General features: G+C 41.5%; 1 long non-coding RNA gene across 1 annotated transcript in view; it reads left to right on the top strand.

Moving 5' to 3' along the window:
• Window positions 1-1,049: 1,049 nt before the first annotated feature.
• Window positions 1,050-15,016, top strand: part of LOC105379562 (uncharacterized) — a 29,333-nt gene continuing 15,366 nt past the window's right edge. Inside the window, exon 1 of the long non-coding RNA XR_951439.3 lies at window positions 1,050-1,384. This is a non-coding gene — a long non-coding RNA (uncharacterized LOC105379562). The remainder of the gene's footprint in view (window positions 1,385-15,016) is intronic.

Consider the following 15,016-nt stretch of genomic DNA (forward strand, 5'->3'; position numbering starts at 1 on the left):
CTCTTTTTTCCCCTCCATCTACCCCAAACTATTTTTCTGTTGTTTTCCCAACCGCCATCCCTGCTACCTCTCGCCACCCTCTTTCCTCCCTCCATCTATCGAAACACTTTTCACCCACCGTCTTTTCTTTCTTCACTGTCTTTCTTTTCTGCCACTGTCTTTTCACAAAACCTTGTCTTCCTCCTGCTGGCTACCCTCTTTTTCCTTCTCCCACTTGCTACCCTCTTTTGCTCAACCCAAAAACTTTTCTCCCCCACTGCATTTTCTCCACACTGTCTTTTCACAAAACCTTCTCTCCCTACTGCTCCACCCGTTTTCCCCCATCACCTCCCTCTCTTTCCTCCGCCCACTTGCCACCCTCTTTTCCCCCTCCATGTACCCTTAAACTTTTTACCCACCGTCTTTCTGCAAAACCTTCCTTCCCTCCCACTCCCCACCCTGTTATTACACCTCCATCTACGCAAAAACCATTTCCCCACCATCTTTTCACCACCATCTTTTTTCAATTCCTTCTCTGGCTAAGCTATCCTTTTTTCCCTTTGGCCCTAACTACCCTCTTTGCTCCCCTCTATCTATCCCAAAACTGTTTTCCTTCTCCTACCTCTCCAGCCGCGATGCTATCTCTCCGTCACTGCCAACAACTGCAATGAGGCGAGCCGCGCTCCCGCGGCTCCAGCCTCCAGCATATAGCCACCGAATCCTGATTCCTAGTCCTCTACGTTGGGCAATGAGCAACTCGACATGAAGATACAGGAACCTGAAAAAAAGTGATCGCACTTCAGCATCATTTATGTACTGCGGTAGTGCCCATGGAGGTTCCTGGACTGCATGTCTTGATTGGATGAGAAAAAAACCTCCAGGCTTACTCTGATTGGACTTTATGATCATGTTCTGATTGGATGAGAGCAAGTCTTAACACAACCAATCACAGCATGAAAATAAAGTCCAATCAGAGTAGGCCTAGAGGTTTTTTTCTCATCCAATCAAGACATGCAGTCCAGGAACTGCATTTGCATAACCTCATATATAAAGGATGCTGAGGTGGCGTCAGGTCATTTCAGACTCTTCTGTGTCGAGTGGAGGAGCAACTCTGTGCCCAGCTTAGAGGACTGGAAGAGGCCGCAATCTTCCGCCTGCTGGAGGGTGGAGGATGGATGGAGCCTGGAACCTGGGTCACTACCTCGCTGCAGTTGGTGGTGGCGATAGAGCAGTAGGAGAGCATTCGGCAGCAGGAGCTTCTCCTGCTGGGCTGGAGGACTAGAAGGAAGAGGCACTGCCACATGCTGGAGGCTGGAACCTGTGCCACCATGGCTCGCCTCGCTGTGGTTGGTGGTGACATCGGAGACTGCAGCTCAGCCACAGTGGTAGAAATGTGATGGGGTAGGTGAGTTTTTCCGGGCCTGCCCTGTATGCCTCTGGGGGCAAGGGTTGGGTGTCCTATTGGGGTTCACTGCTAGAGGCTACCATGCCTGTGGCAGTGGTCTGGTTGGGGACACTCTCCGGGGTTGCATTGCTGGTGGTGGGGCAGGTTGCCTGGCTATCTGGGGCTATACTGCCTGTGGTGGCAGGGGTGGTGGGGGGAGGCAGATTGTGTACAATAGCTTGTATTGCTGGTGGCTGGGGAAGGATTAGGGGCGCTATTTTCTGCTGCACTGCCCGCAGCAGGGAGTGGGTTGGGTGGAGTTATCCAGGGCTACAATGCTGGCGGGGGGGTGGTTTAGGGGCGTTGTTGGGTGCTACACTGTGACTGGAGGGGTGCACCATTAGGAGCTGAACTGCCTGTGGCTGGGTCAGATTGTGGGCACTATTGGGTGGTATGCTCCCTGAGGTGTGGGGGGAGTGTTTTTGTCAGGGGGTATTGGGGTTACATTGCCTGAAACTGTAGGGTGTGTTGGATGTGTTATCCAGGAGCTACACTGCTAGTGGCAGGGGGCAGATTAGGGGTGCCATGGGGGCTACACTGCCAGTGGCATTGGCGAGCTGGTGAGGTGGCAGCAGCAGTGACAGCAGTGGCTTCCTTCTTCTCGTAGCTTCCAAGTAAGGTATCGTTTTCTTCTTCTCAGACTCCAGACTCTAGAAGGCGATTTTCTTCTGCTCGAGCTGGATTGCATGGTAGGGCCTCCACACCCACTGTGGTTTCCCAGCCTGCCCTCATGCTTTGTGTTGCGAAGATCACGTGGGACTACCGGGCAGGGAGTAGTAGGCACCATGGGGGAAGTGGGAAACAGGGCACTGTTGGTGGAGGTGTCAGGAATGGGAACCAGCCCTTTGGTGGGGAGGGCTGGCTGGGTCTTAGTTTCTCCTACGCAGGCTCCCGGAGGAGGACAGCCTTGGTGGGCCCAGCAATTCCTGGCCAGGTGTACTTGGCCAAGGGCCTGTTTCAGTGAAGGCACTCACTCCCACCCCAGGCCCCAGTTCCTGGCCAGCTTTTGCCAGAAGGAGAGGTTGGACTTTGGAAGGTGGGTGTGAGTGCCTTCAATGAAACTGATCCCTGACACCCAGTCACCAGCCTAACGAGGTGAGGCTCTAATGGTTCCAATCCCTGAGTCCTGTTTTGGGCTTTTCTGGCTTTGCCTGCCCAGCTGCTCCAAGCCACTCTGAAGAAGGAGAAGGAGGAGTCGCCTGTGGTATGGTTGAGCAGATGCCGTGGCTCTGCAGCTTGCCTCATGCAGTTGGTGGTGGAGATGGAGACCATAGCTAGAATGGAGCGGTAGGAGGGCACCCACGGGGGCTTGGTGGTAGGAGCCTGGTAGAGTGGGCTGGTACATTGAGGGTGACTGGTTGTATTGGCATTGGTGCTAGTGGTGGTAGCAGTAGGAAGTCTGGGGGCCGGGAAGGGGGAGTAGGAGCACTGCAGGGCCCATCCCGTTCTGGGGTGGGGAGGAACCTGTGGGTGCTGTAACGAAGGTCTCGGTGGCAGTGGTGGTGGTACACCTAGGGCAAAGAGGAGTCCTCCCCCTTCTCCTGCAATCTCTGGAGTGTGCCCTCCTCCTGCCGGTGCCTGAGCTAGGCATGAGTGGCAGCATTATCTCATTCTTAACAAAATTTAGTGACTATTTGTGTATCCTTTTGCTTGTTTTTTGTTGTGATACTCTTGGAGTTACTCAAATTTTATGAATCGAGGAGGGGATAAAAAGTATTATATGATAGGCCTTCTAATTCCCACACCTGTTCTTTTTCCTTTCTTCCATTGTGTTTTCTTCTCATTTTCTTGTTCCTCTTCATTTTCTTTTGCTACTGCTTCTATTTCATGTTTGTATTCTTGTTTCTCCTCCTGTTTTTGTATTCTTATGCCAAGCAATGGCCTTAACCACCAAAACTGAGTTAAAAATAAAATACTTGTCACTGTTGTGTTTTTTAAATAACTGATCCCTTACTATGTTTTAGAGATGAGGAAAAAAAATGAGTTGTATAATTAGTTACTTGAATAGTTATGCTTTCATAATTGTGTTAACCCATTTATGCCTAGTGTTCCATGCTAAGCATGTGGAAATTACTTATATCCTACTGTTAAATGTCATCGAAAAGGTCTGATTTTTCACTTATGCAAAAATTCAAAAAATTGCAACCTCTGGCATAAATGGACTAATGTGTTGTGTTATTCAAGGAATCAAAAAATGAAGCATCACATAAAATATTGGTAGCAAACAGCCATTTCATCTCTCTCACACTTTTTTCTGGAGCTATGCAAGAGTCACAGGGGTAATAAGTTCTAATTTATGAGATGATTAAGTGAACCATATTCCCTTAATTTTTTTTCTGCCACCATTTTCAAGAGTATTATCATCTGCATGAACAAAGGGTTCATCAACACATCTTTGCAAGAGGAAAAAGAAGAGGGGAGAATCATGTGTATAATGTTGTAAGGCAAACATTCACAACCAAAAACAAGGTTTTATTAACTTTCACCTTTAAGAACCTGCAGTGTTTAGCCCTCTTTGATTCCTAGTATTATTACCTTTGGTATGAACTCTTTTATTAAACTGATCACTCTAGAAGTTTATGCATTTTTTATCATTTTTCAAGCCAACAGAAATGTGTAATGCCTGTAATTCTGACACTTCAGTTATTTTTAAGGCTATGAGCATGTAAGATACTGTTGGTATATGGAAGAATATGTATAAATACCACTAGGTAGCTTATTTTGAAGAGTTAGTATCTAAGTTTTTGTCCAGAGTAGATTGGTTGCAGTTTCTTAGGTGTGTTTCTTAATATGTTGCCTCAAAGTTTTAAAGCATGTAGAAATTTGAATACAGTTTAACTTCATATAGTCCTTTGTTGATAGATTTAATATTTCTAAAAACTAAAGACATCACAGCTCCCTTTAAGATTCAGTAATATTAATAAAATTTTAGAAATATAGGGTTAGAATCCAACAAATTCAGAGGAAAATTGTTAAATTATATAGCTGTAGAGCAAGAATGAAACCCAGGTTCTAAGCTCTAAGGGGGCCATGAGGTACCGTACAAGTACTTCAGTGACTGGGCATAGATTCAGCAAAATTACAGGATGGTTAAGAGAGTGAGCTGTGGAGCCCAACTCTATGTAACATGAATTTTTAAACTGTATGGTGCCTCAGTTTATCCATCTTTACAGTGGGGACTGCAGTAAGTTTTTCTTTTTCTGCTCAGTTGTCTGTCATGTTGCGACTGTTCCCTAGTCTGTCTTGTTGCCACTCAGTGCCCACATGACAAGACCTAAGGTAATTTCTGACAGCCTGGGACTCCTTAAAGAAAAACAGAAGGTGCTACAAAACCCATTTTAGGAGAAACCTCTGTTGTCCTCATGGAACCCCAAGAACTTCAGGCAGACGGGTCTCTCTCAAAATCTAAAGCTCTCCTCTGTTTTGCTTTGTGTTATCTGACCTTTTAGGTTTGGGTGGGCATCAGAAATCAGTCAGGGAGAGAGATCTAAAGAAAGTTGTGGATATGAAGATGTATTTATGGTAAGAAAAGTTGTGAAGGAAAGAAATGTTATATGAGAGGATCTTGTATGGCAAATTTTTGTCCTAAAGTAGAATGACTAATTATGAAAGAGGGAAGTACAGGAAAAGTCAGAAAGTTCATGTCATAGATAGTCTGTGGAAGTTGTGTTAGGGTTCATAAAATGAGAAAGAAAAACTTAACAACTGCTAGATCTTTTCCTGTCTAGAAGTGTTGTGTATATGATGGATATATAAAGGAGCCCTAACTACTTGGCTTAGAAGAAAAGGAAGTCTCTTAAATATTTTGTCAGAAAAATAGAATCTCTAATGCCTTTTATTTAACATGACTTCAGTGATCTTTGGGAAATAAAGACAGTGTTAAAATCATTTTTTAGTAGAGACAGCGTTTCTCCGTATTGGTCAGGCTAATCTCGAACTCCTGTCCTCAGGTGATCCTCCCGCCTTGGCCTCCCAGAGTGCTGGGATTACAAGCATGAGCCACTGCACCTGGCCTACAAATAGGTTAAATTATTTTATAAATTAGCTGTTGTTTGTTTTGCCTACTTTCAGACTTCTGGATTTTTTTTAAGTATGAAGGATTTCAATTGTTATATTAATATAAATGCTTAGATAAATAGCACAAACATGAATTTTTTTTTGACAGAGTCTCACTCTGTTGCCCAGGCTGGAGTGCAGTGGCAGAATCTCAGCTCACTGCAACCTCCACTTCCCAGGTTCAAGCAATTCTCGTGCTCAGCCTCCCAAGTAGCTGGGATTACAGGCATATGCCACCATGCCTGGATAATTTTTGTATTTTTAGAGACGGAGTTTCGTCATGTTGTCCAGGCTGATCTCGAGCTCCTGGCCTCAAGTGATCTGCCCGCCTTGGTCTCCCAAAGTGTTGGGATTACAGGTGTGAGCCATCACACTTGGCCGACTGTATTCTTTATGATTTTTTTTACATCAAAAAGCTCATTTGTAATATTTTCTGTATGTATACATGCTATAAAATTTATTTTGTTTTATTTTAACTTTTTAAAAATAGAGATGGGGTCTGATTGTTTTGCCCAGCCTGGTCTTGAATTCTGGGCTCAAGTAATCCTCCCACCATGACCTCCCAAAGTGCTGGGATTACAGGCATGAGCCACCATGCCCAGCCTGTAAAATTTATTGTAAAGGAAAAGGCATATTTTCATTAAGCTGATAATCTTTACATAAATACTGAAGCATGGCATATTTCTTTATTCTACTTGGGCTATTTTGTGTTGCATTAAGAAGAATTTTTTATTTGTTCTTTCTTCTTACTATGCTTGTTTCTGGAATACTCCTTTCCTCCCTTATCTTCCAAACTCTACTACATCTAAATTTATCCTATTTTTCAAGGGTTTGATCACATATTACGTCATCCAGGAAGTGTCTCTCCTATTCCCTCTTCTCCAAAATGTATATTTTCTTTTTCTGGAAACTCTTGATCCTTTGCCTCTAGACCATAAGCCCTTTGTAGGCATGTCTGTATCTGAGTTTTTAAATTTTTTTTTCCTCTTTTCTCACTCCCAGAATAACACCCTGTGCCAAGGAGTAGTAGATACTTGTTGAATGCATAAAAGAGCTTAGCAGCTAGAGTTAGTGTGGATGCTGTAGAAGATGTCTGATACACATATGGCAGTTTGATGCTGAATAGTTTTTGGAAATTAAAAAACAGGTAGAAATTTCACCAATGTCAGTGACTAACATAGCTGTAATTAGTAAATTATCAAAATGTTTCTTTTTTTTTCTTTTTTACAGAGAGGGTCTCTCTCTGTTGCCCGGGCTGGAGTGTGGCGGTGTGATCATGGTTCAGTGCAGCCTCCGAGTCCTGGGCTCACACGGTCCTCCTGAGTAGCTGGGACTACAGGTGTGTGCCACCACACCTGGTCAATTTCTTTTATTTTGTAGAAACAGAGTCTCATTATGTTACCCAGGCTGACCTCAGATTGCTGGGCTCAAGAGATCCTCCCACCTTGGCCTCCTGAAGTGCTGGGATTATAGGTGCAGGCCACTGAGCCCAGTTAAAAGCATTTCTTTAAAAAAGAAAAAAAAGTTCTGTTTATTGGGATTTGGGGGAGGAAGAGAAAGTAAATATGGGATTGGTTCATCCTAGACAGCACTCATAGTTCTAGATAATATTAGAAAGCAATAATGTTTTAATTTATATATGCAGGGAATTTCGGAGTAATTTCAATCCTAGGAAAAAACTGGGAGTTAGAAATATGGGACGATTGGCCGGCATGGTGGCTCACGCCTGTAATCCCAGCACTTTGGGAGGCCCAGGCAGGCAGATCATGAGGTCAAGAGATCAAGACCATTCTGGTCAACATGGTGAAACCCCGTCTCTACTAAAAATACAAAAAAAAAAAAAAAAAAAAAAAAAAAACTAGCTGTGCATGGTGGCACGTGCCTGTAGTCCCAGCTACTCAGGAGGCTGAGGCAGGAGAATCGCTTAAATCCGGGAGGCAGAGGTTGCAGTGAACCGAGATTGTGCCACTGCACTCCAACCTGGTGACAGAGCGAGACTCCATCTCAAAAAAAAAAAAGAAATATGGAACAGTTGGTTGATTATAATAGAATTTAGGACTCCCTTTGAAAGAATAATATCAACTAGTTTTATATTAAAAAAATTAAATTCTTAAGTAGATTCGTCAGGAGTAAAGGAAAAGTCAAGATTCCCAACTTATTTGGATTTCTTTCCCCCATTACAGTGTACTCGAGGAACAAAATTTGGGCTGTTTGGCTGTCTTTTTTATTTGTTATACATAAATAAACTGATAATCAAAACCAAATATATTGAGGTTACATTTTTCTTTTCTTTCTTTCTTTTTTTTTTTTTTTTTCCTGAGACGGAGTCTCGCTCTCACCCAGGCTGGAGTGCAGTTACATGGTCTTGACTTACTGCAAGCTCCACCTCCCAGGTTCACGCCATTCTCCTGCCTCAGCCTCCAGAGTAGCTGGGACTACAGGTGCCCACCACCATGCCCGACTAATTTTTTCTATTTTTAGTAGAGACAGGGTTTCACCATGTTAGCCAGGATGATCTCGATCTCCTGACCTCGTGATCTGCCTGCCTCGGCCTGCCAAAGTGCTGGGATTACAGGAGTGAGCCACAGCACCTGGCAAAGGTTACATTTTTCTAGCAAAATTTGATTCAGATTTATGATGAGAGTCACCTTTATGCTTATAGATTGCCCCTTTACCCCATACTTGGTTGAACTGACAGACATTCTTCTTGCCATTATCACTGTCATACACTGTTCACATTCAGAGTAATTTGTTTTAGGCAATTCATTTCCCTTGGCAATAACATGGAGATTAATGTAATTTTGAAAATGTTTAAGTAGTCATCATCAGGACTTTGAGTTTCTGTTCAAAGATGTTTAACTTTGCATTACTTTTAATATTTTTAAATTCATTTTTAACTACAATAACTTTTATGTATTTGGAGGTATTTGGAATGAAATCAAAACGTGCTATCTAGGAGTTATAACCTAAAATATGCAGAACATAAATATACCTGATGTAGGAGTATATACATTCTGTTGAGGGGGGAGAAAGAAGTTACTTTATATTCACACAAAATCATTTTAATGCATGAAGGAGGAGGATATGCTATTTTAAAATTTGATCTTTCACTAATTGTAAGTAATACATTATTTTTTATATATACTGAAATTCCTGGATGTAATCTACTGAGTTTGCTGCATATTCTTCCAGTTTTTTTTTCTGTGTTTGTATAATTTTCTAAATTATGGGATCATAATATACTATTCTTTTATATACTACTGTTGCAAGTTTGTCTATTTATTTCAGAGTTACCTCTATCAATCATTAACAGCAACTTAAATACCCCATTTCTAGTACATGAAAATACCATAATTTGCCAGTCACGATGACTCACACCTGTTGTCCCAGTACTTTGGGAGGCCGAGCTGGCTGGATCACCGGAGGTCAGGAGTTCAAGACCAGCCTGGCCAACATGGTGAAACCCCATCTCTACTAAAAATACAAAAAATAGCCAGGCATGGTGGCATGTGCCTGTAATCCCAGCTACTTGGGAGGCTGAGGCAGGAGAATCACTTGAAACTGGGAGGTGGAGGTTGCAGTGAGCCATGCCACTGGACTCCAGCCTGGGCGACAGAGTGAGACTCTGTTTCAAACAAACAAAAAAAGAAAATACCATAATTTGCTTAATCAACTTATGGTCACTGGATTTTTTTGTTGTTGCCAGAAAAAGAAAGCTGTAAACAATTGTGTGTGTGTATGACTATTTATGCACATGTACATATGTATATGTATTTTGTGTACTTTATACAAACAGCTTTGTAGGATAGATTCCTAGAAGTGGAGTTGCTGAAATCAAAAGATGTGAATAATGTAGATATGGATAGATATTTATACATTTTCCTTCCAAAAGGTTGTTGTACCAATTTGTAAAGCTACCAATAGTATTCACATATGCCCCATACCCTGGCTAATACTAGATATTACAGTTTAAAACATTTTGACAATTTAGGAACTGAAAAAATGTGATGGCCTTTTGTCAATCACTATTGAGGCTGAACATTTTTTAATATGGAGAAAGTTGTATTTCTTTCTTTTTTTTTTTTTTTTTTTTTTTTTTTTTGAGATGGAGTGTTGCTCTTGTTGCCTGGGCTCCCAAAGTGCTGGGATTACAGACCTGAGTCACCGCACCTGGCCTTTTTTTTTTTTTCTTAGACAGAGACTTGCTCTTGTTGCCCAGGCTGGAGTGCAGTGGCACGATCTCGGCTCACTGCAACCTCTGCCTCCCATGTTCAAGCAATTCTCCTGCCTCAGCCTCCCAAGTAGCTGGGATTACAGGCATCTGCCACCACGCCCAGCTAATTTATGTATTTAGTAGAGATGGGATTTCACCATGTTAGTCAGGCTGGTCTTGTACTCCTGACCTCAGGTGATCCACCCACCTCAGCCTCCCGAAGTGCTGGGATTACAGGGTGCGTCACTGCGCCTGGCCATATGTCTTTTATAAATTGCCTACTTTTGTTCTTTGTTTATTTTCTGTTGGGGTTACTGGTTTTTCACAGGTTAAAAGTTCTCTACATATTCACTTTTTTAATTCTTTCTTTTTCTTTTCTTTTTTTTTCTTTCTTTTTTTTTTTTTTTCTGAGACAGAGTTTTGCTCTTGTTGCCCAGGCTGGAGTGCAATGGTGTGATTTCATCTCACCTCAACCTCTGCCTCCTGGGTTCAAGTGATTCTCCTGCCTCAGCCTCCTGAGTAGCTGGGATTACAGGCCTGCGCCACCATGCTCGGCTAATTTTGTATTTTTACTAGACATGGGGTTTCTCCATGTTGGTCAGGCTGGTCTGAAACTCCTGACTTCAGGTGATCCGCCCACCTGGGCCTCCCAAAGTGTTGGGATTACAGGTGTGAGCCAATGCGTCTGGCCTTATTCACTTTTTTCGTACGTGTGCACATATCCCCCTAGCTATTCTTTTGTAATGTTATGCAGTCAGATAAATCCAAACCCAGCACTGTGCTGCTGTGGGACCTTGGGCACATTATTTAACCTCTGTACACCTTAATTTCCTTATTTGTACAATGGAGATAATGTAAATAGCATTAGGCATAATGGCTGGCACAAAGTAAGTAAATAATAAATGTTAGTTGTGACTGTTATTAATTTATTTATGTGACTTTTGTGTTTTGTGCTCTACTTAAGACTTTCCTTGCTCCAAAATGTAAAATATTCACCTAGCTACTAAACTAGAAAAACAAAGTGAGGAACATTATATGCCTCTATGTGTCTTTGCTTTAAAGATGAAAAACAATGTATACATTTTTGCTTGTATATCACAGGATATATGATATTTGGAAACATTGGTTGTCATAGTAGGAAGAATGAGTGAGAGGAAGACTTTTTAACTGCATGTGTTTTTGTATTTTTAAAACAAAGAAGTCCCCAGATTGTATTTAATACTTCAATGGTTTCTTTATTTTCCTTTTCCTTCTCTTTTTAAAACTTCTAATTCTTTGATCCGTCTGGAATTTATTTCTGGTATAAGAAGTGAGACATATTTTGGGGGATAAAATTGTGTGTGAATTCTACCCCATCTAGCTAGTTGTGTCAGCACCATTTAGTGAATAATCTGTTTTTTGCCCCCTATTAGAATTGCAGCTTTTGTCATTTACTAAATGTGTTTGGGACTATTTCTGATTGGTCTTGTTATTTTGGTCTCTTGTGTATTACCATACACTTTAAATTACTATCATTTTATAATTTTAATACAGATGGGGTTAATTACCTGTTCATTTCTCTTTTTTTTTCAGACTTTGACAATTCTGGTCTATGTGTTCTTCTAGATGAACTTTAGAATCATTCTGTGACATTCAAAAAGAAATCATAGAGATTTTTATTGAATACTGAATATTGATTGGGAATACTGAAATTGGAGGTGAAGTTTGGGGAAATTGACATCTTTATGTACTTTCTGTCCTGTGTTCTAACAGATTTTTATGTGTCTCAGTAGATTTTCAAACTTTGCTTCAAATAAGTCCTGTACAAATAAGTCTTGTATATTTCTTGTTTATTTATTTTAAAAAACATCAGACCCATGAATGGGAGTTTGTTTATTTTATCCAACAAATATTATAGAGAATCAAACAGGTAGTTTTTATTCTAGTGAGAGAAGACAGAATATACTCAATAAAATAAAGTACGTAATCCATTTCAAATTATGATAAACCTATAAATGAACCAAAAGGGTGATGCGATTGAGAGTAACTAGTGGGAGCTTACCTTATATGTAGGGTGGTTGGAAAGACTCTTCTGAGATGACATTTGAACTGAGACCTTAAGTTTGAGGAGGAGCTAGCCACCTGAATGAGCCAGGAACAGCGTTCCTGGAAGAGAGTAAAGAAGGACAAAGGCCCAGCTAGGAAGGACCTGGCAGAGAAGGGCTCCTGAAGAAACTGAAAGGAAACTCATGTTGCTGGGGCCTAATGAGCAATCTGGAAAGTAAGCAGGCCAAATCTAGTAGGGCCTTGGGTCATCGTAAGTAGTTTAGATATGCAGTGCGTAGGAAATCCTTGGGGAATCTGAAGCAGAAGAGTGGCGTGTTCTGATTTAAGGTTTAAAAAGAACACTTGGCTTTTTGAGTTGAGAAAGTATTGAAGTGGGAAGCCCAGTTAGGAGTTTTTGCAGCAAGAGGTAAGGATGGTGGTAGTTAGATGGAGAGGCCAGGGAAGCTTCAGAGTCTGTGTGTGTGTGAGTGTGCGTATGTGAGTGCGTGTGTGTAAGGAACAGCTAAACAACTTGCTGTTGGAGTGGGTGCTACTGAGAGCTAAGTACTGCTAGCTGCTGCAGAGGCCGTGTAGAGCAGAACAGAGCTGATCTTTGCCTTCACAGGTGTTTGACAGTTCTGTTCGTTTCTGAGGTGTGTACCAAAATAAAGTAGGCTAAGAGCATTTGACTTTAAGATTTGTGGAGCTCGGGGGTGTTGAGGGGGATGCAGCAAAAAACAGAGTCTGTTAATAACCCTTGTTTTATATTGCTTAATAACCTGTAGTCTCTGTTAGTGGGTCAAAGGAGAGGCAGCAGCAGATGATCTTTAAGGTATCTGTCTTTGAGTTAGAAAAACATAGCTTGAGGAAGTTATGTAGCTTCCCTACAGACTTACAGCTAATAGTAGAACCAGACTTTTAGGTGAGCTCATGCACACATCAAGTCTTAGCACACTGCCTAGTATATGTCTAGAGCTCAATAAATGGTAACTTTTAGTAATACCCACTTAGATATTGTTATATCTATTAATTCAGGCCAAATATCTACATTAAAATTTTTCTTATCTCAATTTCTTTGTTCTTTTGTGTTAATCAGGGAGGGAATTGGCATGTAGTCATCCATTTTGTTTGTGAAATATATTTGTTCTTTTTTTGTTTGTTTATTTTGAGATGAAATCTTGCTCTGTCATCCAGCCTGTAGAGCAGGGGTGTGATTTCGGCTCACTGCAACCTCTGCCTCCCGGGTTCAAGTGATTCTCATGCCTCAGCTTCCTGAGTAGCTGGGATTACAGGTGTGCACCACCACACCAGGCTAATTTTTTGTATTTTTTTTTTTTTGAGATGGAGTCTCACCCTGTCGCCCAGGCTGGAGTGCAGTGGTGCAATCTCTGCTCACTGCAACCTCTGCCTCCTGGGTACAAGCGAATCTCCTGCCCCAGCCTCCCAAGTAGCTGGGATTACAGGTGCACGCCACTACATACACCTGGTTAATTTTCATGTTTTTAGTAGTGATGGGGTTTCACATGTTGGTCAGGCTGGTCTTGAACTCTTGACCTTGTGATCCTCCAGCCTCAGCCTCCCAAAGTGCTGGGATGACAGATGTGAGCCACCATGTCCAGCCATATTTTTGTATTTTTAGTAGAGATTTCTTTCAATATCATACTTTATTAGAGGTAGGATAGGTTAACTAAAAAGCTTTTTCCTTAGCTTCCATTTGTTTCTCTGTCTTTAAGTAAGATGTCATGATGTCAAAAGAGGCTGCAAATAAAATACCTTGTCAGTGGCATTCCCCCAGGTTAGATCTTAACCAAAAGGCTGAGAAGCAGTAGCTTTTTTCCCCCCAAAGGGAAGAATGCTTAGGTTATTTTACAGGAGAAAATCCATTCCAGTATAGCACCACTCTGGTCTTGTACAAATTACATAATTCACTTAGATAATTTCTAGTCTTTCCTCTCCTGGATGGTGGACTCTGTAATAAGTTTAGGAGGTCGGCTTTCTTTAAATTATCCCCAGGTTGGAGGATTTTAGGTGTCGGGATGCCCAGGGTGGTTGTCCTTCTTAGCCTTGTCTTACCTAACATACTTTTAGAATTGGTCTAGAGCTGGACAGCTTTGTGGGAACTGGAGTGACCTAATTTGCTTCAGTTTAATAACTAATATTTTAGCATTTAAGTGTCATAGAGGCATTGCCCTATCCCATACTTTTGTATCAGGAGGTTTCATTATTTTATCAGTTAAAAATTGCATATTTTGTAGGATCCTTTTTCTGCTTTGGTGAAATGTAGGCTTCACCTCTATTGTGATGCTTGGTGGATTCATTCTTGCTCATCTGAAGTGACATCTGCGGTCCTGCCACTGTGAAGTATATTTTTAGCTTTTTTTTTTTTTTTTTTTGAGATGGAGTCTTGCTCTGTTGTCAAGCTGGAGTGCAGTGGCACGGTGCCAGCTCACTACAACCTCCACTTCCCAGATTCAAGTGAGTCCCCTGCCTCAGCCTCCCGAGTATCTGCGACTACAGGTGTGTGCCACCATGTCTGGCTAAATTTTTTTTGTATTTTAGTAGAGATGGAGTTTCACCATGTTGGCCAGGATGGTCTTGATTTCCTGACCTTGTGATCCATCAGCCTTGGCCTCCCAAAGTGCTGGGATAACAGGCATGAGCCACTGTGCCCGGCCATTTTTAGCTTTTTTTCCAATGTAGCTTAGGCCACCTTGAACACCTTTGCATAACACATTTTGGTTATGCAAAGGTTGTGGGCCAAAAGCCAGAAGTTCCTGCTGAGAGGAAAAATTACTTGTTTTTTGGCAGGTTAGTATTTGAAATTTTGTTGCAAGATTTTCCTGTTGAGTAAATATGTGTGTGTTTATTTAATATGAGAAGATTTAAAAAGGAACTTAAATAGATCAATTTCATTTTGCAATATTTTATTACCTGTTTGCAATATGTAAGAGGCTAGTTCTGGGTTTATCTGTATAATTCAGTTAGAAGTGCTATTGTCTTTTATGACAGTGATGTATAATTATTACTATATTATTCTCATCCTAAAACATTATATGTTGATATGTAAGAGATGAGGAAGTTGCTCATAAAATCTTGATCGGATTTCTTAAACTATTCATAGAATTGTTTTAGTTCATGAGTCAACCATGTAACTACCCTGAGTTAATGAGTTTTGGTGCTAAGAACTGAAATTATAATTTGATACTGCCACTTAAGGTGCTCCCTTCCCCTTCAGTCTGAACTTTAGATTCTTTCATTTCAGTGGGTTTCAAATGTAAAGTATTCTGCCGAGGTATCTT

This window comes from Homo sapiens, unplaced genomic scaffold (genome assembly GCF_000001405.40).
Source record: "Homo sapiens unplaced genomic scaffold, GRCh38.p14 Primary Assembly HSCHRUN_RANDOM_CTG27".
Taxonomy (NCBI): Eukaryota; Metazoa; Chordata; class Mammalia; order Primates; family Hominidae; genus Homo; species Homo sapiens.